At 53.1% G+C, this 22160-nt stretch overlaps 3 protein-coding genes and 1 long non-coding RNA gene across 13 annotated transcripts in view, besides 6 other annotated features; 2 read left to right on the top strand and 2 right to left on the bottom strand.

Moving 5' to 3' along the window:
* Positions 27–486: a silencer, noted in NCBI's record as "silent region_19001". NCBI's record gives its function as "represses an Ori minimal core promoter by ATAC-STARR-seq in GM12878 lymphoblastoid cells {active_cell/tissue: GM12878}" and the evidence as "EXISTENCE:reporter gene assay evidence [ECO:0000049][PMID:35858748]".
* C8orf58 (chromosome 8 open reading frame 58) lies at positions 87–4630 on the top strand. 3 transcript variants are annotated; one of them, NM_001013842.3, is made up of 7 exons: positions 87–248; positions 1370–1845; positions 2200–2340; positions 2460–2568; positions 2688–2800; positions 3025–3131; positions 3683–4630. In NM_001013842.3, exons 1-7 carry the CDS (start codon positions 209–211, stop codon positions 3792–3794), a joined length of 1098 nt encoding a protein of 365 aa, NP_001013864.1. In that variant the 5' UTR covers positions 87–208; the 3' UTR covers positions 3795–4630. The 3 variants fall into 3 exon arrangements, with proteins under 3 accessions (NP_001013864.1, NP_775957.2, NP_001185756.1); NM_173686.3 differs by having other exon boundaries at positions 3049–3131; NM_001198827.2 differs by lacking the exon at positions 3025–3131.
* Positions 1774–2651: an enhancer, noted in NCBI's record as "H3K4me1 hESC enhancer chr8:22458799-22459676 (GRCh37/hg19 assembly coordinates)". NCBI's record gives its function as "activates a minimal SCP1, AML or CMV promoter by ChIP-STARR-seq in primed H9 embryonic stem cells {active_cell/tissue: H9 hESC(primed)}" and the evidence as "EXISTENCE:reporter gene assay evidence [ECO:0000049][PMID:30033119]".
* On the bottom strand, positions 3621–5488 carry LOC107986876 (uncharacterized). Its single transcript, NR_160769.1, has one exon. It is a non-coding gene; the product is annotated as an uncharacterized LOC107986876 (long non-coding RNA).
* Positions 4963–5072: an enhancer, noted in NCBI's record as "active region_27082". NCBI's record gives its function as "activates an Ori minimal core promoter by ATAC-STARR-seq in GM12878 lymphoblastoid cells {active_cell/tissue: GM12878}" and the evidence as "EXISTENCE:reporter gene assay evidence [ECO:0000049][PMID:35858748]".
* Positions 5079–5579: an enhancer, noted in NCBI's record as "H3K27ac hESC enhancer chr8:22462104-22462604 (GRCh37/hg19 assembly coordinates)". NCBI's record gives its function as "activates a minimal SCP1, AML or CMV promoter by ChIP-STARR-seq in primed H9 embryonic stem cells {active_cell/tissue: H9 hESC(primed)}" and the evidence as "EXISTENCE:reporter gene assay evidence [ECO:0000049][PMID:30033119]".
* Positions 5243–5542: a silencer, noted in NCBI's record as "silent region_19002". NCBI's record gives its function as "represses an Ori minimal core promoter by ATAC-STARR-seq in GM12878 lymphoblastoid cells {active_cell/tissue: GM12878}" and the evidence as "EXISTENCE:reporter gene assay evidence [ECO:0000049][PMID:35858748]".
* On the top strand, positions 5245–22002 carry CCAR2 (cell cycle and apoptosis regulator 2). Of its 5 annotated transcripts, none has more exons than NM_001363069.2 (21): positions 5245–5330; positions 6224–6319; positions 6573–6664; positions 7095–7186; positions 7398–7512; positions 7684–7813; positions 8457–8553; positions 13505–13624; positions 14580–14802; positions 14878–14991; positions 15326–15489; positions 15913–16084; positions 16170–16400; positions 16500–16736; positions 17908–18052; positions 18187–18266; positions 18837–18983; positions 19105–19216; positions 19315–19503; positions 19638–19843; positions 20126–22002. In NM_001363069.2, exons 2-21 carry the CDS (start codon positions 6262–6264, stop codon positions 20168–20170), a joined length of 2769 nt encoding a protein of 922 aa, NP_001349998.1. In that variant the 5' UTR covers positions 5245–5330; positions 6224–6261; the 3' UTR covers positions 20171–22002. The 5 variants fall into 5 exon arrangements, with proteins under 5 accessions (NP_001349998.1, NP_001380926.1, XP_011542906.1 ...); NM_001393997.1 differs by having other exon boundaries at positions 18184–18266; positions 20126–20959; NM_021174.6 differs by lacking the exon at positions 5245–5330 and adding an exon at positions 5530–5906 and having other exon boundaries at positions 18184–18266.
* Positions 5603–5662: a silencer, noted in NCBI's record as "silent region_19003". NCBI's record gives its function as "represses an Ori minimal core promoter by ATAC-STARR-seq in GM12878 lymphoblastoid cells {active_cell/tissue: GM12878}" and the evidence as "EXISTENCE:reporter gene assay evidence [ECO:0000049][PMID:35858748]".
* BIN3 (bridging integrator 3) overlaps positions 20906–22160 on the bottom strand; it is a 48704-nt gene continuing 47449 nt past the window's right edge. For all 4 annotated transcript variants that reach the window (NR_156436.2, NM_001363046.2, NM_018688.6 and 1 more), the window contains one exon: positions 20906–22056. Coding sequence is in view for 3 of the 4 variants with exons in the window: in NM_001363046.2 (NP_001349975.1) it covers positions 21910–22056 (147 nt within the window). In the remaining variant the exon portion in view is untranslated. The remainder of the gene's footprint in view (positions 22057–22160) is intronic.

A 22160-nucleotide genomic window follows, 5' to 3' on the forward strand; every position in this document is an offset into this window, starting at 1 on the left:
CTCTCTCCTCCCCCTAGGCCACGCCCCCCACCGCCCCGCCCCCCGCCCCCCCAGCCCCGCTCCCCGCCCCCCCAGCCCCGCTGGGAGTGTCTGGGGGCCGCGCCCAGCTGGGTCGGGACGCGCTCCCTGAGCTGCCCGAGCTCCGCGGGGACTCGGGCCGGGATCCTCGGGCGGCTGCATTGGCCGGGGCCGGGGCCGGGAGCGGGCCATGATGGGCCGGCGGCGCGCCTTCGCCGTGGACGGCCGGGGTGAGTCACCCACCCCCAGGCTGGCCGGGCTCCCCCCTGCCCCGGAGCCGCTTCCCGCCCCCAAGCCGGGCACCCTCTCTCAGTTTCTTGCCCAGCCCCGCGCACCCCGCGGGCGGAGCCCGCGCCGCTGCGCCTCCCTCGCCGCCTCCCTGGAGGGGCGGTCATCAGGGGACGCCATGCAGGCTGGAACCCCTTTGGGCCCAGGCGTTAAACCAGCCACCGCCTCCGCCCCACTTCCTCCGGCTCCGCTTCCCTCGCCTTCCCGCTCCTTCTGAGGATGTGGGAATCCGCCCGCGCCCCAGCCCCCTCCGTGGCTGCGGACCCCTCTCCCACCCAGTGACCTCCTGGCCCACTTCCTTGCCCAGAGGGGCCTGGGTTGGCATTCGGCTCCCGCGTGCCCCGCAGCTCGTCCCCGCCCCCCTAGCCTGTTTCCCGTACCGTTCATTCCGCCAGGACGCCCCGTCGCCAGAGGGCCTGGCGGAGGTGACAGTGAGGGGGTGCTAATGCTGCCCCTTCGTCCCTTTCTTTCACTTCAGTTCTTTCATTTTAAACTTTTCATAAAATCTTCACTATTGCTCACTTACAACAAAAGCCCAAATCGGTTATAGCGGTGATTTTTATCACTCTCCCGGTGAGCTGCAGGAGAGACTTCACCTGGCATCCTGATGCCGCAGGGGCCCCCAGAGAGCAGGTTGGATCCCAGGCTTTCCTCTCTGTACCCTCTCCCCTCTCCCTGAAGCTGGATACAGTCCTACTCCCGCTTGGGGAGCAGCGGAAGAGCCTGTGGCTCCCTACTTCTGACTCGGGAGATCGTGGGCTGATCCTAGGTGGGAAGCGCAGGCGCAGGCCGTCTAAGGGATTGATGGATGTGGCCTGCCAGGGCTTTGCCTACCACACAGCTCAGAGCACGGGTTCCCTGTCGCTAACAACCGTTGCGAAGGGAATCCCATCCACACATCTCCCAGACAGCTGGGGCCATATCCGGGCTGCCCGTGGCTGTCCAGTGACCGCCCTTCCTCACTGCTCCGGGACACTTCTCCCTGGGGCAGTGCTGCCAGCCTTCAGGAATGCTGGGGGTGTTGGGGGTGGCCTGCCCAGCCTGACGCTGACTCTCCATGCAGATGGGGCTGGCGAGGGCCTGGCACGGGGCTGCATAGTGCCTGGAGTCACCAGCACCTACAGACGGATCCCCGACGCTGCCCACGGGTGCTCATCCTGGGAGAGAGGTGACAAGTTCAGAGGTGTCGGCAGGGAGGCACTCTTTCTCAAACTGGCCTCCCGGGACTCAGGAGTGGAGATGGCAGTTGGGGACAGCCCCCTGGCCGCCTTACCGGGCCTTTCTCAGGACTCCCTGGACTTTGAATCCTCAGGGAGTTCTGAGCCCCCCGCCCAGGTAGGCCGACTCCTGGCCAGCCAGAAGCTGGGGGAGGTGTTGGAGCGGTCCCGCCGGCTCCCAACAGCTCCCACCAGCTTGTCAGGACAACACCGCTCCCTGCGGCTGGCAAGCAAGCCTGAGCGTGAAGTGCCCCTTGGAGCAGGGCAACAGGAGTCCATGGAGGCAGACACAGACCTAGAGGCAGGCCTGGAAGAAGAGGCGGTGAGTGCTCACTCTCAGGCTGGGTTTAAGAGTGGGATGGACAGCCTAGCTCCTCTGGTTCTCCCTGGAGCTCTCTCTGGGTGGGGCACTCCCTGCCCCTAATTGATGGGTTGTGTCATAGGTTCTTTCTGCACCCCAGTTCCATTTGTGCACGGCCACCTCTGCAGAGGAGGTGGGCAGCTACGGGGGCCCTTCCTGGCACTATGCCCCGCTGGGCAGTGGGGAAGCCGGCTGCGTGTGTTCCTCCTCGGGGCCCACTCTGCTCCCATCTGCTGGCTGAGCCCAGCCTGGCTGCTTAGGGTAGGGCAGGAGCCCTACTGGCTGAAATCTCCCCTATCTCACAATGTCCCACAGGTGGGGGGCCTGGGGCCTGGAGCCTGGGCCTGCCTCCCCGGGCAGGGTCTTCGCTATCTGGAACACCTGTGCCTGGTGCTGGAGCAGATGGCAAGGCTCCAGCAGCTCTACCTGCAGCTGCGGATCCAGAGGCCCCCAGGGGTGAGTGAGATTCGAGTGGGGGAGGGAGAGGACAGATGGGACCCTGGGAACCATGGCTGCCCTCAGAGCAGCTTCAGCCCTCTAGCCAGGCCCTGATCACCTGTCTCTCCTGTGCATAGGATCCCGGCGAGGAGGAGTCGACCCGAGCCCCTTTACCGTCCCCGTTACACACCCCAGGCAATCGGGGGCAGGGGCCATGGGAGCTGCTAAGCCAGACAGAGCACACAGGTGAGGGGCCATCGTGTCTCCCTTTGTCCTGCCTGCCTGGGGTCCCACCAGCAGGTCCTCTGAGCCGAAGCTTGATGGGGTGTCTTCTGGCCCTGGCCAACCTGACTGTCTTTCTGAAGGAGCAAAGGCTGCTTCACCCCCAAAGGTGGAGGTGCCCAGTGCCAACCCTCCCAGGCTGCCAGAAACCCCAGTGGAGCCAACGTACCACTTGCCATCCTCCCAGGGACACAAGGTAGGGGACAGGTATATGTGGGGCAGGTGGTGGGCTGGGGTGGGGGGAGGGGAGGTGGGGGATGCATGGGCACCCTGGGGGCCAGCAACTCTGGGGAAATGACAGGATTGATTCCTGTTTGGAGCAGGCGACTTGTCCTGGCTGTGGCGACAGCTGTCTCTGGGAGCTTGGTCGGGGGTCTGAGTGTGGGGAGGGCTCTGGGTGACCCCTCATCCTCTGCTCAGCGGGATATCTCCCACTGGGACAAGGTCAAGGTCCTGCTCAACCGGATCTGCCGGAGAAGCCACCACCACCCTGAGCCCCCTGCCCCTCCTGATGGCTCTGACCCCAGGTGAGCCCCGTGCCCAGCCCAGGTTAGGGCACGGAGAGGAGACTGATAAGCCAGGATGCTGAGATTGTCATGCCAGTTGTCATTATTGTCCCCGCAAAACTTGAGAGGCAGTCTGGGAGGGGCTGCTAGAAGAAACAGTAGTTAAAACACCCCATTTACAGATAAGGAGGCAGGGTTCTGGGTGGGGTTGGGGGTAGTTGCTTTTCCAAAGCCGCACGGTGAGTCAGTGACAGCTAGGACCAGAATGTGGGAAATCTGCCTACCCTAGCTCAGCAACCCCTCACCCTCAATGCTGACATTTAGGCCACCTTCCAGGTTCGTGGGGAGAGCAAGGTGGAGCACAAAGGATTTCACAGTGGGTGAAGGCCATCATGCTTCGGGGCTTGTATTGAATCGTTCTCCAGGAGGAAGAAATACCAAGTCATTTAACAGCCCCGGGCTGCGCCCACACCCAGCTACCCACCAGCAGATAAACCACGTTCTCTCAACTCTAGGGCCATTGTTAGTTTTATTTCCCCCTTCTAGCCTAATGTCTTCTTTTCATTCCACAGGATCGAGTCCAGGGACCTCCCTGAAAGGCCTCAGTGCCGCCCCCACCGGAAGACCTTTATGCCATCATTAGTGGTTAAGAAGCAACGAGCAAAAAACCTTTCTGTAGGCTGAGACCTCTCGGTGCACCTGGTGACCCTGGGTGGAGGGGACTTGCTGTGAAGTCTTCCTCGCCCTCTGCCCTCTTGCTGCTTCTCCACATTGCCAGGAAAAGCTGCTGACGCCTGCCCTCCTCTCTTGAGTCGAGGGCTGAATCTTTCTCCTCTAAGCAGTCTGGTCAGGAACCTTGGTTTCTTGAGAGGCCCCCAAGATGCCGCAGCTCCAGGGCTCTTCCTCCTCACCAGAAATCCCTGGGCTTCCACAATGTGAACTCACTCATTGTCAGGTGTCCGTGGAGTGTTTTTGGCATGGTGACCTGTCTGGGCCCAGCATGTTGCAGATGTGTATTTATGCGCAATGGTATGCATATCTCTGTGTGACTGTCAGTGTTGCAAGCTGGCTGGATCCAACCATCTCTTCTGAAATAATGCATCCAAAGGGTTGATATTCTGGGGGAGGTCACTGCAGAAGGATGGAACTGACCTTTATTCCCCAGTGGGCAGTTACTGAGCTTTCCTCCTCAGAGCCATGCTGGCAGCCCTGGGACAGAGAACGGTGTGGCTTTGGCTGCCTCTGCATGGAATCTTGCCCCGGACTCCTGAAGACTGCACAAGGAATGAGGAAGATCAGGGACAACCTGGGAACTGAATAACTTTCAAAGCCAGTGCTCAGCTTCTCTGCTCCGTACTAGCGTTTACAGGTCTTAATTCAAACCAGATGCCTGTACTAGTTTTTAGACCCCAAGTCAACCTTTCTGAGCCACAGCTTCCCGCTGGGAATAATGATGCCTGCCCTATCTACCTCACAGACTTGTTATGAGGATAAAGTGAGATTAAACTGCCTCAAAGTGCTTTGTAAACCTCAGGTGAATAGGAAAGGGGAAAGTAAGGCTGGAGTGATGATGGGGAGGTCGGAGGATAAGGGGGGGCTGGGATTGCTAATGGGGACTAAAATGGCCAGTCTCCTGGCAAGATTTTGAGCAGGTCATTTCATTGAGGCCTCTTAGATTTCATATTTGAGAATTAGGGCACTGATTCCTGACTGGCTAGGCATGGTGGTCACTGGCTTGAGTCAGACCAGGAATGTCTCTTAGAAATGGTCACTGATAGGCATCCTTCTCCTCCAGTCAGGAGGGGCTGGTTTCCTTATCTGTTGCAGTCTCGACTGCCAGAGGGAGGCGAGCGTGGTAGGCAGTCGGGGGTCCCTTGTGTTTGGGGGGCCCAGCTCCCGCTTCCTTTGAGCCCGGAACCAATGATCCGAAGCCTTCTTTCCTGATGGGATTCTTTAGCGAGGACACTACCGAGGCGCGACTTCCTGACGCGCATCCGATCCGGGAAGGCGCACTTCCGCTCCCCAGTTGCCGCGGGATGGCAAGCCGGCGTGGGGGAAGGGAGAGGTCGGCGGAGACGAGGGAGGGACCATATCCGGGAGAGCGGCAGCTTCCGACCAGTGGTCGCGCTTCCGGAGAGGCGCTTCCGGTGGCGGCGGCAGCAGCGGCTGTGGTGGTTCCGGGTGTCTTTGTCCCCCCGGTGTCGCTGCCCTGGCCCGCAGGTGGGTTGGGGGGCCCCCTGCCGCCCCTCTGCCCCTTCGCCCCTCCGCCCCTCCGCTGGCCGAGGGGCTGCGAGGGCCGGGCGGCGAAGATGCGTGGGGCGCGGAAGGGGCCGAGCCCCTCTTTGGACTGCAAGTCCCGTCTCCCTGGCAACGGCCTCGGCCTTGGGGGCGGGCGGGAGGAGGAGAAACCGCGCGCCTCAGTCCTCCCTTGGTGGCCTCGCCGCGGCTCTGCTGGGAGACCCGGCGCTGGCGGCTGCTGAGGCCGGAGCGGAGGGCCCGGGAGCGTGGGAGCAGGAGGGTGGCGCGCAGCCGGTTTCGCGTTTGGTCGGCCAGGGAGCTGCCTTCCCACCAGCCGGTCGAGGAAACAACGGGTCGGGCTTCCGGGGAGAGGGCCCACACAGTCTCCTCGCCGGCACCGGCCTCCTCCATTTTTCCGGGCCTTGCGTGGAGGGTTTTGGCGGATGTTTTTGAACGAAGGAATGTCATCGGGGCTCTCTCGAGCCCCTCACCCCGCCAGCTACTCTGGGGGTGGCGTGGCATAGTGAGAGGAGCGCTAAGTTGTTGGGAGGCCTGGGTGTGAGTAGCAGTTTTGTCACTACCTGGTTATGTGGCCCCGGGCAAGTCTCTTGATCTCTCTGAGCATCAGTTTCCTTGTCTGTAAAACAGCATGACAGTATCATGCACCACTAGGTTATTGTCAGGGCAAACTGGAACAATGTAATTTCTTGTTTCATTTCTTTCTTCTCTATATTCTCTCCATCCATTGCTTTCATTCATTCTTATTACCCACCTCCCTGTTTTCCGAAATATCCTTACTTAAGATTCTCCACTTTTCCGGGTATAGATGGAAATTTCCCTTATAAGCTGTTAATTTCTTTCTTTTTGGATTGAAGCCTTTTCCCCACGACTCTGAAAGAGGACAGCGTTCCCAATGTCCCAGTTTAAGCGCCAGCGGATCAACCCGCTTCCAGGGGGACGCAACTTCTCAGGTGATCACTGTTCTCCCTACCTGGCCTCATCCTGGGAAGTATGTGCTCTGGAGTTAGTTTGGGGTTTCCCTGGTGGAGAGCAATTTGCTGCTGATGTTCCTCTGGAAAGCAGGAGATGCCCACAGTGATTGCCAGTGAAGCTCTGTGGAGGAGCTGGCTGGAGCTGTAGCCTTTGGATTTACCACATCCTTTGGTTGACTCGTGCTTAAGGTGGTAGGGGCGGTTCCTGGAGATTGCTTCTCTTTCCCCATAGGCACAGCTTCAACATCTCTTCTGGGCCCTCCTCCTGGTTTGCTCACTCCTCCTGTGGCCACAGAACTGTCCCAGAATGCCAGGCACCTTCAGGTAGGTTCGGCATCCCTTGTAGTAAGTTTCAGCCCTTGGGACTGAATGCATGGAGGCCTGGTGCTCTTTTTCTCTTACATAATAGTGTTTATCATTCCTGATCCCTCTCCTGGTAGTGGGCTAGTATGGGGTTGCCCAGATAGCCTTCAGACTGGGGCATCTTCATTTCTCGCTCCAGGGAAATCTTTAGCTTACGTCTTGGAATTAATGAACTGGAAATCCCAGAAGAAGCTTGTGGGTCAAGAACCAGCTCAAACATGCCCCAACCCCTAATGATGGAGTATGCCCACCACACCTGTACTTCACTCTGTGCGAACTCTTGATGCAGTACGCTGAGCTGGGGCGTGGGTTGAGATGAGACCTTCATGGCAGAGTGTGATTTTGTCCAGTTTCCTCCCTTTTACTTTTCAGCTGTCTCCTTCTCTTACAGGGTGGGGAGAAACAGCGGGTCTTCACTGGTATTGTTACCAGCTTGCATGACTACTTTGGGGTTGTGGATGAAGAGGTCTTTTTTCAGCTAAGGTAGGCTTGAGGTTGGTCCCCTAACGGAAATGCTTATTGGATTCAGTTCTGTCACCATGCTGGTATTGCCCCCACCCGCCTCAAAGCCATTGCTTTGCTGTTTTTGTGCAAGGTGTGGGAAATCTTGATGGGAAAGGCCTCATAGGGGCAGTCAGGGTGGCCTGGCCAGGGTCCCTCTTCTGATGGGGCCTTCTGGCTTGTGTGCTGACAGTGTGGTGAAGGGCCGTCTGCCCCAGCTGGGTGAGAAGGTGCTGGTGAAGGCTGCATACAACCCAGGCCAGGCAGTGCCCTGGAATGCTGTCAAGGTGCAAACGCTCTCCAACCAGGTATTCATATCTCCTTAGCATGTGCATTGGAAAGGGAAGGGATGGAAGCCCCTGTGCCCTGACAGCTGGGCAAAACCCTGACTTTTGTCAGGGGGGTGGGACTGCATCTTTCCAAGGTAGTGAGTGCCTCAACCATGGGGTCCCCTGAATTTCCTGGCTCCTGTTCTGCAGCCCCTACTGAAGTCCCCAGCACCTCCTCTTCTGCATGTAGCAGCCCTGGGCCAGAAGCAAGGGATCCTGGGAGCTCAGCCTCAGTTGATCTTCCAGCCTCACCGGATTCCCCCACTCTTTCCTCAGAAGCGTGAGTACGAGTGGCACTGTTGTTGGGTGTGGCATTATGGGGTAGTTTAGATCAATGGACTTTCAGGTTGCTGCTCTTAGCATAGAGGTGGGTACTTCTATGTACTGGAAGAAAGGTGGGCAATCTGGATAGGTGTTTAGGGTTTTTTTTTTTTTTTTTTTTGATGGAGTCTCGCTCTGTTGCCCAGGCTGGAGTGCAATGACACGATCTCGGCTCATTGCAACCTCTGCCTCCTGGGTTCAAGCAATTCTCCTGCCTCAGCTTCCCCCGTAGCTGGGATTACAGGCGCCCGCCACCATGACCGGCTAATTTTTTTTGAGAGAAAGTCTTGCTCTGTCACCCAGGCTAGAGTACAGTGGCGCGATCTCGGCTCACTGCAAGCTCCGCCTCCTGGGTTCACACCATTCTCCTGCCTCAGCCTCCTGAGTAGCTGGGACTACAGGCACCCACCACCATGCCCGGCTGATTTTTTGTATTTTTAGTGGAGACGGGGTTTCACCATGTTCGCCAGGCTAGTCTTGAACTCCTGACCTCAAGTGATCCATCTGCACTGTCCTCTCAAAGTGCTGGGATTACAGGTGTGAGCTATTGCACCCGGCCGGTTTTTAGGGTTTTTGAGTCACCAGTCATTTCCTTTCTGCAGCTCTGAGTCTCTTCCAAACATCCCACACACTTCACCTGAGCCACCTGAACAGATTTCCTGCCCGGGGCCCTCATGGACGGTTGGATCAGGGCCGAAGGTAAGAGGATGATGTCCCTTTTTTTGGCCACTTGTTGACACTAACATTCTCTTTATTTTATTATTATTTTTTTGTGTTGGCCAGGAAGTGAACCCAGGTCAACTGCTTGGAAGGTGGCTATGCTTACCACTAACATTCTTTGCCTGCAGCTAGATCCTAGTCCCTTTTCTGTGAAGTATGTAGACACAACTGAAATGTGTATAAAAATATTGGAATTTTATACAGTGGTTAAGCAAGCAGGGAGTTGATACAGTTCATCTTTCAAAATGTCATGTTGAGATACTTCTTAAATACTCTTCTGTTTCTAGTCCCTAAGTTGAGATGATAGGAATGGAAACTCTCAATAGTAACATGTCAAAACAACTAGAACACTGCAGTATCTGTTCTCGTTGTTTAAAACGTTTCTTTATAGACACCATACTCATCAGTATGCTGTTAGAAGGTGTATATTGCACTCTGCCTGGGAGTTCAGGCCCCCGTGCCTTGGACACACAGGTAGCTTTCTCAGCCATGTGTGGAGCAAGCATGGCTGATTTGGGCCTTTAGGGTATCCTGGTGATGCTGTGTCATCTGTAGCATTGGGGACCACTAGGAGCATGCTGTCCCGTCTTCTCTCCAGTTCACATGTTCCTTCCTCAGTCTCACTCTCCCTGAGTGTTTTGCTTATACCTCTAAAAGTTAAGCTCCAGAATGATTTGTTTAAGACTCGTTCTAGTTCTGTCTTCATTTTAAACTTGTTATAATGGAGAATTTCACTATATGCAAGGTAAACAGAAAGGTGTGAGGAACCTTATTATACCCATTACCCAGCTTCTTCAAGTATCAGCTACCATTCTTTTTCATCTCTACCTCCATCTATTCACTGCTCCCACTTGATTTTGTTAAGGTAAAAAATTTTAACGTGGAACTTATGTAGATTGAAATGCACAAATCTTGACAGTTTTGACAAATGGGAAATGTTATGTAACCCTTAACCCTTTTTTTTTCTTTTTTTTTTTTTTTTGAGACAAGGGCTTGCTCCGTCACCCAGGCTGGAGTGTGGTGGTGTGATCACGGCTCATTGCAGCCTTGATCTCTCTGGCACAAGCCATCCTCCTGCCTCGGCCTCCGCAGTAGCTGGGACTGCAGGTGTGCACCACCATGCTGGAGTAATTTTTTAAAACGTTTTTTGTAAGGCTGGGTGCGATGGCTTATGCCTATAAATCCCAGTGCTTTGGGAGCCTATCTCTACAAAAAATAAGTAAATATTTATTTATTTTTGTGGGGGTCAGAGAAAGGGTTTTACCATGTTGCCCAGGCTGGTCTCGAACTCCTGGGCTCAAGTCATCTTCCCACCTCAGCCTCCCAAAGCGCTGGGATTACAGGTGTGGGCCACCACGCCCGGCCCATTGTGAATTCTAAGTAGGGGGAAGCTTTGGGATTGTTTGCCATGGGGTTTCCACTGCTTGAAACCCTGTGTCCCATTCTCCATTGTAGACACCATATTCATAAGTATATAAATATATCCAGTCGCTGGTATATATTTTGTGTTTACCCACTCCTCTTGTCCTGTGCATCTTCCTGGTCCTCAGTTTCTAGGGACCTTCTCCCTTTCACAGTGTGTGAGTTTATTAAAGGCTTCATTACAAAATCACAGCAGGTGCCTTCTGAGACGGTGTAGCCTGGGTGAAACTCTGTGACTGCCGTGGACTTTCTGCTTTACGGTTAATTTCAGGCTTTCTCTATCAGTTGCATTTGATTGTCCTGGACGTGCTGAGGCCCATGCAAGGTCTGTTGTATTACTTTGGCCATTATGCTTCAGTGTCACAGCTTCTACAGAAAGGACGTACAGGTTGAGCATCCTAAATCCTTAAACCCAAAGTACTCTCAAATCGAGAACTTTTTGAGTGCTGACATGGCACTCAAAAGGAAATGTTTATTGAGCATTTCAGATTTGGATTTTTGGATTTGGGATGCTCAGCCAGTAGGTATAATGCAAACATTGCAAAATCTGAAAAAAATTCCAAACCCAGGATGCTTCTGGTCCCAAGCATTTCAGATAAGGGATACTCAACCTATACTACCATTGGGAGGGAGATATTATATTACCATTCGTCAGTAGAGAGAATGTGCAGAGTGGGGCCAGGGGTAGTAGGAAGTAGGTCATTCTGGGGCAGCAACTTTTATTTATTTATTTAGTTTCTCAGCTTTTAATTTATGAAGGACTCAGCCACATTAATGTTTTGCATGGAAGCCAAGCTTTATTTTGAATTCCTGGCTTTGGGATGCAGAGAACAATGTCTCCATTGAGCTGCTACTGCTGTGCTGTGGTTTTTAGACAGGTGTACCCAGCTGGGCTCTGCTGCTGCAAGTCCTGAGAGGTCAGCCCCTGGTGCTGCCTTACAACCTCCTGACAATGTACAGGAAGCGGAGGAAAGTGGCCACACAGTGTACAGCGTTGAGTGGACCATAACAGTTTAGCTAGAGGCCGACAGCATTCCTGCGAGCTGGAGAGTTGTCAAAGTGGCTTTGGCATGGGTCTTCTATTAGAAACATGGGCTACTGACATCCCATCGGGGCTAGAGAAGAAGGCCACTTTTGGATGGAGATGCTCATGCACATGGAAGTGACCAAGGCCAACAGAAAAGAGCAGGCATCATGATAAATCTCTTCAGCTTAGTCACTGGGGTGTGAACAGGGAAATGACCCAGGCAGGTCTAAAAGGCAGAACAAGAACCTTCTGGTGAATACAATCAACTCAGTTACCCAGGCACAGAGAAATGGCAGTGGGTTTTATTTCTCTCATGTGACATGGGGGGTTTTCCCCTTATCAGTCTGGCACGTTATAATGAATGGTCTAAAGGTTTTTTCTCCTCAACTATTTTTATTTATTGTACCCATATCTATTGCACTTATAACGTAGTTATAGTGTAATACTGTGGTGACTTATTATAAAAATGTGTAAAGCAGTACATGCTATTATATAAAATTAAAATAATATAAATACATAAAATTAAAATAATATAAATACGTAGGCCAGGCGCGGTGGCTCATGCCTGTAATCCTAGCACTTTGGGAGGCTGAGGCGGGCGGATTACTTGAAGTCAGGAGTTCAAAACCAGCCTGGCCAAGATGGTGAAACCCTGACTCTACTAAAAATACAAAAATTAGCCAGGCATGGCGGTGGGTACCTGTAATCCCAGCTACTCGGGAGGCTGAGGCAGGAGAATTGCTTGAACCCGGGAGGCAGAAGTTGCAGTGAGCTGAGATCACGCCACTGCATTCCTGCCTGGGCAACAGAGCAAGACTCTGTCTCAAAAAAAAAAAAAAAAAAAGTATATATATGTGTGTGTGTGTGTGTATGTGTGTGTATATATGTGTGTATATATGTGTGTGTGTATACATATGTGTGTGTGTATATATATATGTAAAAATATGTGTGGTTTCTACCTTCTTTCTCTTTAAAGGTAACTGTTGTTAACAGGTAGGTATTAAAGAATTTTAGAAAATAATTTTGAAAAGGAAAATCTCTTGCCACTCTTTTCTCCTGTGTTCTAGTTTTTATCTATACATGTGCATACTTTTTGCAATTTTAATCTTACAGTTCAAATTATTTTTGTGTATTTATAAACAGTTTTCCATATTGCAGCATAATCCTGAGTGTTTTAATGGCTGCGTGATTGTTTGTATTTACTATGAAAATTTGGGTATTGCTGAGTATGTATTTGGTTTTTTACTCTCAGTTTATGCTGCTTCATATTTTTCCACTATGTGTAGTCTTTCTTCTTCTTTTGAATTAACTTTCTTGGGACAAATTTTCAAGAGTGTAATTACTGGAGCAAATGGTTTGAGTGTTTTTATGACTTTAATGTGTATTATTAAGGATTTGTAACTGTCTCTCTTTTTTTTTTTTTTGGTGAGACAGAGTATCGCTTTGTTGCCCAGGCTGGAGTGGAATGGCGCGATCTCGGCTCACTGCCACCTCCGCCTCCCCGGTTCAAGCGATTCTCCTTGCCTCAGTCTCCCGAGTAGCTGGGATTACAGACGTGTGCAACCACACCTGGCTACTTTTTTGTATTTTTAGTAGAGATAGGGTTTCACCGTGTTGGCCAGGCTGGTCTTGAACTCCCGACCTCAAGTGATCCGCCCACTTCGGCCTCCCTAAGTGCTGGGATAACAGGCGTGAGCCACCGCGCCCAGCCTTGTAACCGTCTCTTCTAATAAAATTTACTTTTTTTTTTTGAGACGGAGTCTTGCTCTGTCACCAGGCTGGAGTGCAGTGGTGCAACCTTGGCTCACTGCAACTTCTACCTTCTGGGTTCAAGCGATTCTCCTGCCTCACCCTCCCAAGTAGCTGGGACTGCAGGCACGCACCACCAGGCCCAGCTAATTTTTGTATTTTTAGTAGAGACGGGGTTTCACCATGTTGGCCAGGATGGTCTCGATCTCTTGACCTCGTGATCTGCCCGCCTTGGCCTCCCAAAGTGCTGGGATCACAGGCGTGAGCCACCGCGCCCGGCCAAATTTACTTTAAAGGACGCATAGCATGGATCCATATATGCGTCTCTTGTTTTTAAAAGAAAAATCATTTTTTTCTCATTTCAAAAAAATCACGTTAACTATAATTAATGAAGTGCAGAAAAATAGAAAATTATTCGTAAGCTTTCCAGAGGCTTCCATCATTAATATTTTATTTCCTTTCAGTCTTCTAAAGTTGTTTTTGCAGTAGCTGAGGCCTACTGTGTATACAATGTTGCAGAGTGTGCTTTTTGCTTAACAGGAATGTTTATTAAAACAGTAAATATCCATTTTAATATCTTTATAACATTCTGTCATATGGCTGTTAGCATGGATTCTTTTTCCATTTATTGAATGTGAGGGATTTCGATTGTTTCCAGTTCTTTTAGTTCAGTTTGTATTGAATACATATAACAATGTGGTTTCTTACTGTTGGTGATGGGTCAACCTCTAGTGATGACTATGACTCCAAGAAACGCAAACAGCGGGCTGGTGGAGAGCCCTGGGGTGCTAAGAAGCCAAGGCATGACCTGCCTCCTTACCGGGTCCACCTCACTCCTTACACTGTGGACAGGTGAGTGGCGAGGCTGAGGTGGGCTGAGTCTTGCTGCTGGTAATAGTTTCTTATGTAAATGAGATGGCGTCTATGCAAGTGCACATGTATGTTCTTACAGCCTTTTCTTACAAAACGAAAAGCACATGGAAACCTGTTGTACATACTGTTTGGTGGTTTGCCTTTTCACTGAATGTACTTTAGATTTTATTTCGTATGAACATTTATTAGATCTAGTTCTTTTTTTTTTTTTTTTTTTTTAGCAACTACACAGTATTCATTGAATGGATGAACATGATTTATTTACCCAGTTCTCCATTTGCACTCTATCCTAAATTTTCTTGGAATGAACATCCTTCTACCTACACCTGTGTGTTTGTTGCGATCAATTTCTAGAAATGGAGCAGCTGGCTCAAAGGCTTTGCTTTAAGCTTCCATAGCTATTGCCAGTTCTCCTGAAGAGGCTGTGCCCCTTCTGCTCTAACCAGTGGGGTGTGGAGACCTTATTTCCCCGTGCCGTTGCCAACACTGTTAGCCGACTTTTTCATCTTTGTCTGTCTAGTTGGTGACACATGATAATGTGGTTTGCATTTCTTTAATTGTAAGTGAGATTGAGCATATTTTCCTGGCCTCTAATTCTTATGTATTTCTCTTAAGAACCTATTGATGTCAATTTTCCGTTTTAGGCTTTTGAACTTTTTGTTACTGATTTGTGAGTTCCTTTATATTAAGGCAATGACCCATTTCTCTGTCATGTGTTATAAGTGTTTTCTTTTTTCCCTTTCCCAGTTTGACTTTTGCCATCTAGAGTTTGTAAATTAAGTGGTCAGATCTGATCTAGCTTCCTTGAGAGGTGCCTTACTTCAAAAGTTCTCAGACTGAAAAAAAATTCGCCCATTTTTTCAAATCTTTGATGGTTTCATTTCGAATGTTTTAGTCTTTGCTCAGTCTGGATTCCCTTGCTGTCTTCCTGTAGCCCCATCTGTGACTTCCTAGAACTCCAGCGCCGTTACCGCAGCCTCCTGGTCCCCTCAGATTTTCTGTCCGTGCATCTGAGTTGGCTATCAGCCTTCCCCCTGAGCCAGCCCTTTTCCCTCCATCATCCAAGCCGGATCCAGGTCTCTTCTGAAAAGGAGGCAGCTCCAGACGCTGGTGCTGAGCCCATCACTGCAGACAGTGACCCCGCTTATAGTTCGAAGGTAAGCTGACAGGCGTCTCTCACTTATCTGATTTCTGGAGGCTGAAGGCAGCTCTGAGTGTCTCCTCCTGCACAGGTACTGCTGCTCTCTTCCCCGGGGTTGGAGGAATTGTATCGTTGTTGCATGCTCTTTGTGGATGACATGGCTGAGCCAAGGGAGACGCCAGAGCATCCTCTGAAGCAGATTAAGGTAAGAGCTGGAGAGCAGGAGGAGATGCATTCACGGGTAATGTGCACAACCTGTCATGTTTTGAGTGTTCGGCTCCTGTTCCTGAATGCATAAAACGAGGCATCTCAGAGCCGAACACCCCTCATTTCACCCAGGAGGAAGGTGCAGCTCAGAGCTGTTACGACTAGTCAGAGAGAGCGAGGTGGCTGGTTCATGTTTGCAGATAGAGACCTCACTGTGTGGTGGACTTCCCCACTTCCGGCTGCCTTCATCCTGATGGGTGGCAGCCTTGCCCTGCAGTGGGAGACCCAGGTAATGTAGTTTTTTGTTTTGTATCCCTGATCTCTTCTTGCAGTTTTTGCTGGGCAGGAAAGAAGAGGAGGCAGTGCTGGTTGGGGGTGAATGGTCTCCTTCCCTGGATGGCCTCGACCCCCAGGCTGACCCGCAGGTGCTGGTGCGTACCGCCATCCGCTGTGCGCAGGCCCAGACTGGCATTGATTTGAGCGGCTGTACCAAGTGGTGAGTGGGCTTCCTGAGCCTCAGCTGCACCAACGCACCAGGTTGGGGAGGTTTTGTTGGGAAGGCCCGGTCCCTGCCCCTTTCTGCTGGTTAGCTCTCTGCCCCCTAGTCCCGTTCCTTCCCCCTCTGGTGCCTCAGGGTAGGGTGGGGTGTATGCCAAAATCTGGCTGAGCCACCAGGCTGCACTTGAGACTCCCTGGAGTTGTCCTTGCACCTTGTAGGGTGCTTGTGTGGTTGCGGCCTCCCCACTGACTGATCATTTCTTGAGGACTTGGTCTGTAGCTTTCCTGTTGTGTCTTCAAAGCTTGGTTCGCAGTGTGTGCTCATTGAGTGCTGACTGGAAACTGAAGCCCTTGCCTGTGAACGTGGTGTCTGCGTGGAGTTGTCACTAAAGAAGTTAGTACCTCCTTTTGCCATGTGCAGGTGGCGCTTTGCCGAGTTTCAGTACCTGCAGCCGGGACCCCCCCGGCGGCTTCAGACAGTGGTGGTGTACCTGCCGGATGTCTGGACCATCATGCCTACTTTGGAGGAGTGGGAGGCCCTGTGCCAGCAGAAAGCTGCAGAGGCAGCTCCCCCAACCCAGGAGGCACAAGGGGTAAGGCTGTGCCTTAGCCAGCAGCGGGGGATATAGGTGGCCTAATCCCGGGACCCAGAGGGTCTCATTTCAGCTGTTGTCACAGGAAACGGAGCCTACTGAACAGGCACCTGATGCCTTGGAGCAAGCAGCAGACACTTCTAGACGGAACGCAGAAACTCCAGAGGCCACCACACAGCAGGAAACGGACACTGATCTCCCAGAGGCCCCTCCACCCCCCCTAGAACCTGCTGTCATCGCACGCCCTGGCTGTGTAAACCTGTCCCTCCATGGGATTGTGGAGGATCGGAGGCCAAAGGAAAGGATCTCTTTTGAGGCAGGTGTCAAGAGTCTTGGGGAGGCTGTGGGCTGGGATTTGTGGGCCTGAAGCAGTCTTTCTTCCTGATGCTCATGGACCCTCCCACCTCCCCATCAGGTGATGGTGCTGGCCGAGCTGTTTCTGGAGATGCTCCAGAGGGATTTTGGCTATAGAGTTTATAAGATGCTACTGAGCCTTCCTGAAAAGGTCGTGTCCCCACCTGAACCTGAGAAGGAGGAGGCGGCCAAGGAAGAAGCCACCAAGGAGGAAGAAGCCATCAAAGAGGAGGTGGTCAAGGAGCCCAAGGATGAGGCACAGAATGAGGGCCCGGCTACAGAGTCAGAGGCCCCGCTGGTGAGTACCCTGCCACCTCGGGCTGTCATAGTGCTTACCGTGACCGCGCACCTTTACCCCGGGCTCTGTTCCGAGCGCTTCCTGTGCCTTAGCTCATTCCCTGCACCCTTGCTCGGCATGGACTGAGGCCGCACAGCTAGTAAGTAGCACACCTAGTGCAAGGGAAGGTGGCGCAGAGTGCAGGGAGCATGGCTGAGCAGCCTGACAGCACAGAAACCCTTGTCACTGAGAACGCTTGGCAGAGTGGGGTGCTTTGATTGCCTGATGGTTAACTAGAAAATTTTGTAGGCCGGGCGCTGTAGCTCACCCCTGTAATCCCAGCACTTTGGGAGACCGAGGTGGGCAGATCATGAGGTCAGGAGTTTGAGACCAGCCTGGCCAATATAGTGAAACGCCGTCTCTACTAAAAATACAAAAATTAGCCGGGTGTGGTGGTGCATGCCTGTTTTCTCAGCTACTCGGGAGGCTGAGGCAGGAGAATCGCTTGAACCCGGGAGGCGGAGGTTGCAGTGAGCCGAGGTCGCGCCACTGCAGTCCAGCCTGGGCGAGAGAGTAAGACTCTCTGTCTCAAAAAAGAAAAAAAAAGATTTGTAAACCTTTTCTAAAATACTAGTCTGCTTTTTTTTTTTTTTTTTTTTTTTTTTTTTTGGGGAGATGGAGTCTTGCTCTGTCACCCAGGCTGAAGTGCAGTGGCGCAACCTCGGCTCACTGCAACCTCTGCCTCCCAGGTTCAAACGATTCTCCTGCCTCAGCCTCTCTCCAGTAGGTGGGATTACAGGCACCTACCACCATGCCCAGCTAATTTTTGTAGAGATGGGGTTTCACCATGTTGGCCTGGCTGGTCTTGAACTCCTGACCTCAGGAGTGCTGGGATTACAGGTGTGAGCCACCATGGCCAGCTGCTGCTTGTTTAAATACTATCAATCAAATGAATGTAATTTCTTCTGGGACCAAGATCAACTCCTGAGGAAAAAAGCCCAGGTGTCTGGCGATGCCCTGGCATGCTCTGAATCCCACTTAATGAAATTAAATACATGAAATGAGACGGTATCTGTAGAGCCCTCCATACAGTGCCTGGGGCATAGTTGATACTCAGGTGTCAGCCATGCTTACTATTGGTAATTATGGTAACTGCCTGCCTTTTCCTTATAACCTTTGTCTGCCTCTGTAGAAGGAGGATGGGCTTTTGCCCAAACCACTCTCTTCTGGGGGAGAGGAAGAAGAAAAACCCCGGGGCGAGGCTTCTGAGGACCTGTGTGAGATGGCCCTGGACCCAGAACTGTTGCTTCTGAGGGATGATGGAGAGGAGGAGTTTGGTATGTTGAGTGGTGAGAGGGGAGCTTGCAGGCTTGGGATGTGGCTTTCCACCTGTGGCCAAGCTGGTTTTCATTTTTGTACTGTGGAGTTGGGTGGGCCCTGCTCTCCATTTATCTTGGCCTTTCTGTAGCAGGAGCAAAGCTGGAGGATTCGGAGGTCCGGTCCGTTGCCTCAAACCAGTCAGAGATGGAGTTCTCTTCACTTCAGGACATGGTGAGGCCTCTTCTCGACCACTCTGGGTCTCAGTGGTGGTGAGGCTTGGCAAGGCCTCTGGCCCACTCCTGGGAGAAGGATGCTTACCAGTGACTTCCTTTCTTGATGGACCCAACACACAGTGTGGTCCTTGGCTCATGGAAGGGCACGTTCATAGGCTCCAGGAGAACATTTCAGTGTCTGTTGGGGTGAATGGGAGAGGGGTATTTGATCCTCTCCTGAGAGAGGAGCACAGGAGCTTTTGCCAAAGTGGGCCAGAGAGGAAGGCTGGCTTGGGCGTGATGAACATCAGGCAAGGTGCTTGATGTTTTGTTTTTTAGAGACGGGGTTTCGCTGTGTTGCCCAGGCTGGAGCACAGTGGTTATTCACAGGCATGAATATAGTGCACTGCAGCCTCGAACTCCTGGGTTCAAGTGATTCTCCTGCCTTAGCCTCCCCAGCAGCTGGGACTTCAGGCATGCATCACTGCATGTGGCCCAAGCCACTGGATTCTGGACAGGCTGAATCCTGGGCGATAGAGCCACTGAGGGAACTATTTGCAAATCCTGCTCATCTTTGTTTTCTTTGCAGCCCAAGGAGCTGGATCCCTCTGCTGTGCTCCCCTTAGACTGTCTGCTTGCTTTTGTGTTCTTTGATGCCAACTGGTGTGGCTACTTGCACCGGCGAGACTTAGAGAGGATCCTCCTTACCCTTGGGATCCGGCTCAGTGCAGAGCAGGTACCTTCTTTCCTCTGCCCCAGCACATGGGCACAGGCCTGCACTTACTCCTGCTCTAGGTTCCCGCCCATGGCCAGGGTCGGGGACGGGGCCTTCTGATCAGCAGATGTGTTTTCTGCAGGCCAAGCAGCTGGTCAGCAGGGTGGTGACCCAGAACATCTGCCAGTACCGGAGCCTTCAGTACAGCCGCCAGGAGGGCCTGGATGGTGGCCTTCCCGAGGAGGTGCTCTTCGGTATGTTCTGGGGCCCTGCAGCCTTCCTGGGGCACGGGCAGGGCAGGCTGCCCTCTCTGGAGACTCCATCCTGAATTCTTTTTCACGGTTCTCTCTAGGAAACCTGGACCTGCTGCCCCCTCCTGGGAAAAGCACGAAGCCAGGTGCTGCCCCCACAGAACACAAAGCCTTGGTGTCCCACAATGGCAGCCTGATTAACGTGGGGAGCCTGCTGCAGCGCGCGGAGCAGCAGGACAGCGGCCGGCTCTACCTAGAGAACAAGATCCACACACTGGAGCTGAAGCTGGGTGAGGGCCTGGGGCTGCAGCCACCATGGGGTCACATGCAGACCAGTAGGGAACCTGCTGCTTAGGCTCAGGCCCTGCCCTGTGCTCTGGGCCTTGATGGAGCAGCCGTCCCCGTTTCCTTCTCCACCTTGCAGAGGAGAGCCATAACCGTTTCTCAGCCACTGAAGTAACCAATAAGACGCTGGCGGCAGAGATGCAGGAGCTGCGAGTCCGGCTGGCGGAGGCCGAGGAGACCGCCCGGACGGCGGAGCGACAGAAGAGCCAGCTCCAGCGGCTGCTGCAGGAGCTCCGCAGGCGTCTGACCCCCCTGCAGCTGGAGATCCAGCGGGTGGTGGAAAAGGTAAGGTGGGGGTGGACCAGGAGGCAGCACAGCTCCTTTCCCTGAGCTCCAAAAGTCCCCAGAAGGGCGCTTGCCCGTGTCGGGAGTGACCAGAGGGCCAGCAGGCACCGGCTTCGTCTTTCCATCGCTTGCCAGGCAGTGTGCCCCTGGTTGCAGGTTCTCTGGGAATTGAGCAGTCAGCAGCGTGCAGTGGGAGCTTCCCAGCAGGAGGCAGTCCGCAGTCCGCAGTCCTCAGATCACCTTGCCAGGCCCGATTCTGGGTACATCATCTGTTTCAAACAGGCTGACAGCTGGGTGGAGAAGGAGGAGCCGGCACCTAGCAACTGACGGCCTCGCACGGAACTGCCATCCTGTGAGGGCAGCGGTGGCGCCCGGCAAAGTTGGAGCCCTTGCGGTACCAGAAAGCAGCGAGAGCGAGACCTGGGAGCCAGGGCAGGGGTGGCTGACCCCATGCTCAGCCTCTAGGGGACGGCAGGCCATCAGGCTGGGGGCTGTGCTATGTGGGATGGATGTGTGAGGAACCCCGGTTCCACTTAACAACTAAATACAACATCTTTTGCACCCCTAGAATGTCATTTTGCCCTCAACCTTGGTATTTCTCCTGGGGCCCTTTTAGTCTTGTGCTGACTTTCTCCTGTCCTCTTCCAGTTTAGAATAAGACAGGGGAGAAAAAGGCTTTTCGAGTGTGGGACAAGGTCTGATGTCAGTGAACGGAACTGAAGAGCAAGACATGGAGCCTGGCTGGGGCTAAGCAGCCCCCTCCTCCGGATGGCACAGGCTCTGCTAGGTTCCGGACACAGGCTTCTGGGGGAAGGGTCTCCCTTGGCCATCACGGGAATGGAGTCCATGCTAGAAAGAGCTCAGTGTTGGGCTGGGTTTGCCAGTAGAACACTGCGTTCCAGTCACCCCGGTCTTGCCAGAAGAAACCAGCACCTCTTTCCCGTGGCTCCTGTGTTCAGAATGTGGTATTGGCTCTGGCCCAGCCTTCTCCCCTGTTACCCATAATTCTTGCCTCTTTCCATAATCCGTGGTTTCAGTTTGACTTTGTATATAAAGTTGGGGTTTTTTTTTTTTTTTTTTGGCTTGTTTTTTAAATAAACCAAAGTCAAAAACAAACTGAGAGTGTGTCCTCCACAGCTCTTCCTACTCTCCTAGGCTTGCCCGCGTGCCCTCCCACCCAGCGCCTCTGCTGGACCACGGTGCAGTTCGCTCCAGAAGGTGGGCCAGGGCCGGGGAGGTGCGCACACACCCCTGGCATGCTGGGCTGCCTGCTGGAGGGTGCTGCTGCTCCGTGGAGGGCAGCAGGCCCAGGAAGGGGTTTCCTCTGCTCGCCTAAGTTACAGCACAATACTATGTGGACGTTTCATTGAAAATTTTACTTGAAAAAATAAAATTCCAGATACTCAGGTGAGACACAAACCCACTGTTCCTGCTTTGAGACCTGTGAATTCTTGTGGGACAGTTCCACTGACAGCTTGCGTTCCCGAGGTACCAGTCCTCAGTGACCTCGGGAACCCCAACCACTTAGGTCCCAAAGCCACAAGGGTGCCCTTTGTCTTGCTGGGAAGCTGGCTGAGGGCCTGCCAGGGCTGGAGGACCAGCTCTCCCGCACAGGGTTCAGGGCCTCTCCCAGAAAAAAGAGGTTTTGAAGTGAAAAGGCAACGAGGGGCCAGAGGGCTCCCCAGGATGGGTCTTTTGGAGGTAGATTTGATGCCCACAACGCATGCAAGGCTAAGACCCCCAACTTAGCCAACGAAGCCCATGGCCTCAGAAGGGCTGCAGCTTGCTCAGGCCGTGGGCCAGGATGCATGCTGGACGGTTCTCCAAATAAAAAAGCCCCAAGGGTTTGTCTACACTGCTTACCTGCTGGGGCTGTGAGTGGGGAGACGGCGGCCTGCCTAGGGCTCCTGGTGCCAGGCTCAGGAAGAGTCATTCATTGCAAAGGGCCGGCAAGTGAACCAGGGCCACCTCTGTCCCCAGCCTGTGAGAGGAGCAGCTAGCCCTGAGAAGGGCAAGGATGAATGAGGCTGACCACGTCACAGGAGTCCTCCAAGAGTGACGGGGATTCAGTCATCGGCCACAATGGAGAGGGCCCGGAGCTCACTGAGTTTGGCCTCGTTCTCCCGCTCCCGCTGCTCATCGGAGTGGCCTGGCTGGTCAAGCTGATGGGACAGGTCTCCAAAGATCTTGTGCATTTCCGAGTAGTACACAACCTGGGGGAGGCGACAGGGGTTGGCACGTGCTGGCTCCAGGGAACCGTGTGCTTCAGGGGGCCAGAGGCTCACACTTCTCTGCTACCCCCTGCCCTTACCCATCT

The sequence above is a fragment of the Homo sapiens genome, chromosome 8, assembly GCF_000001405.40.
Source record: "Homo sapiens chromosome 8, GRCh38.p14 Primary Assembly".
NCBI lineage: Eukaryota > Metazoa > Chordata > Mammalia > Primates > Hominidae > Homo > Homo sapiens.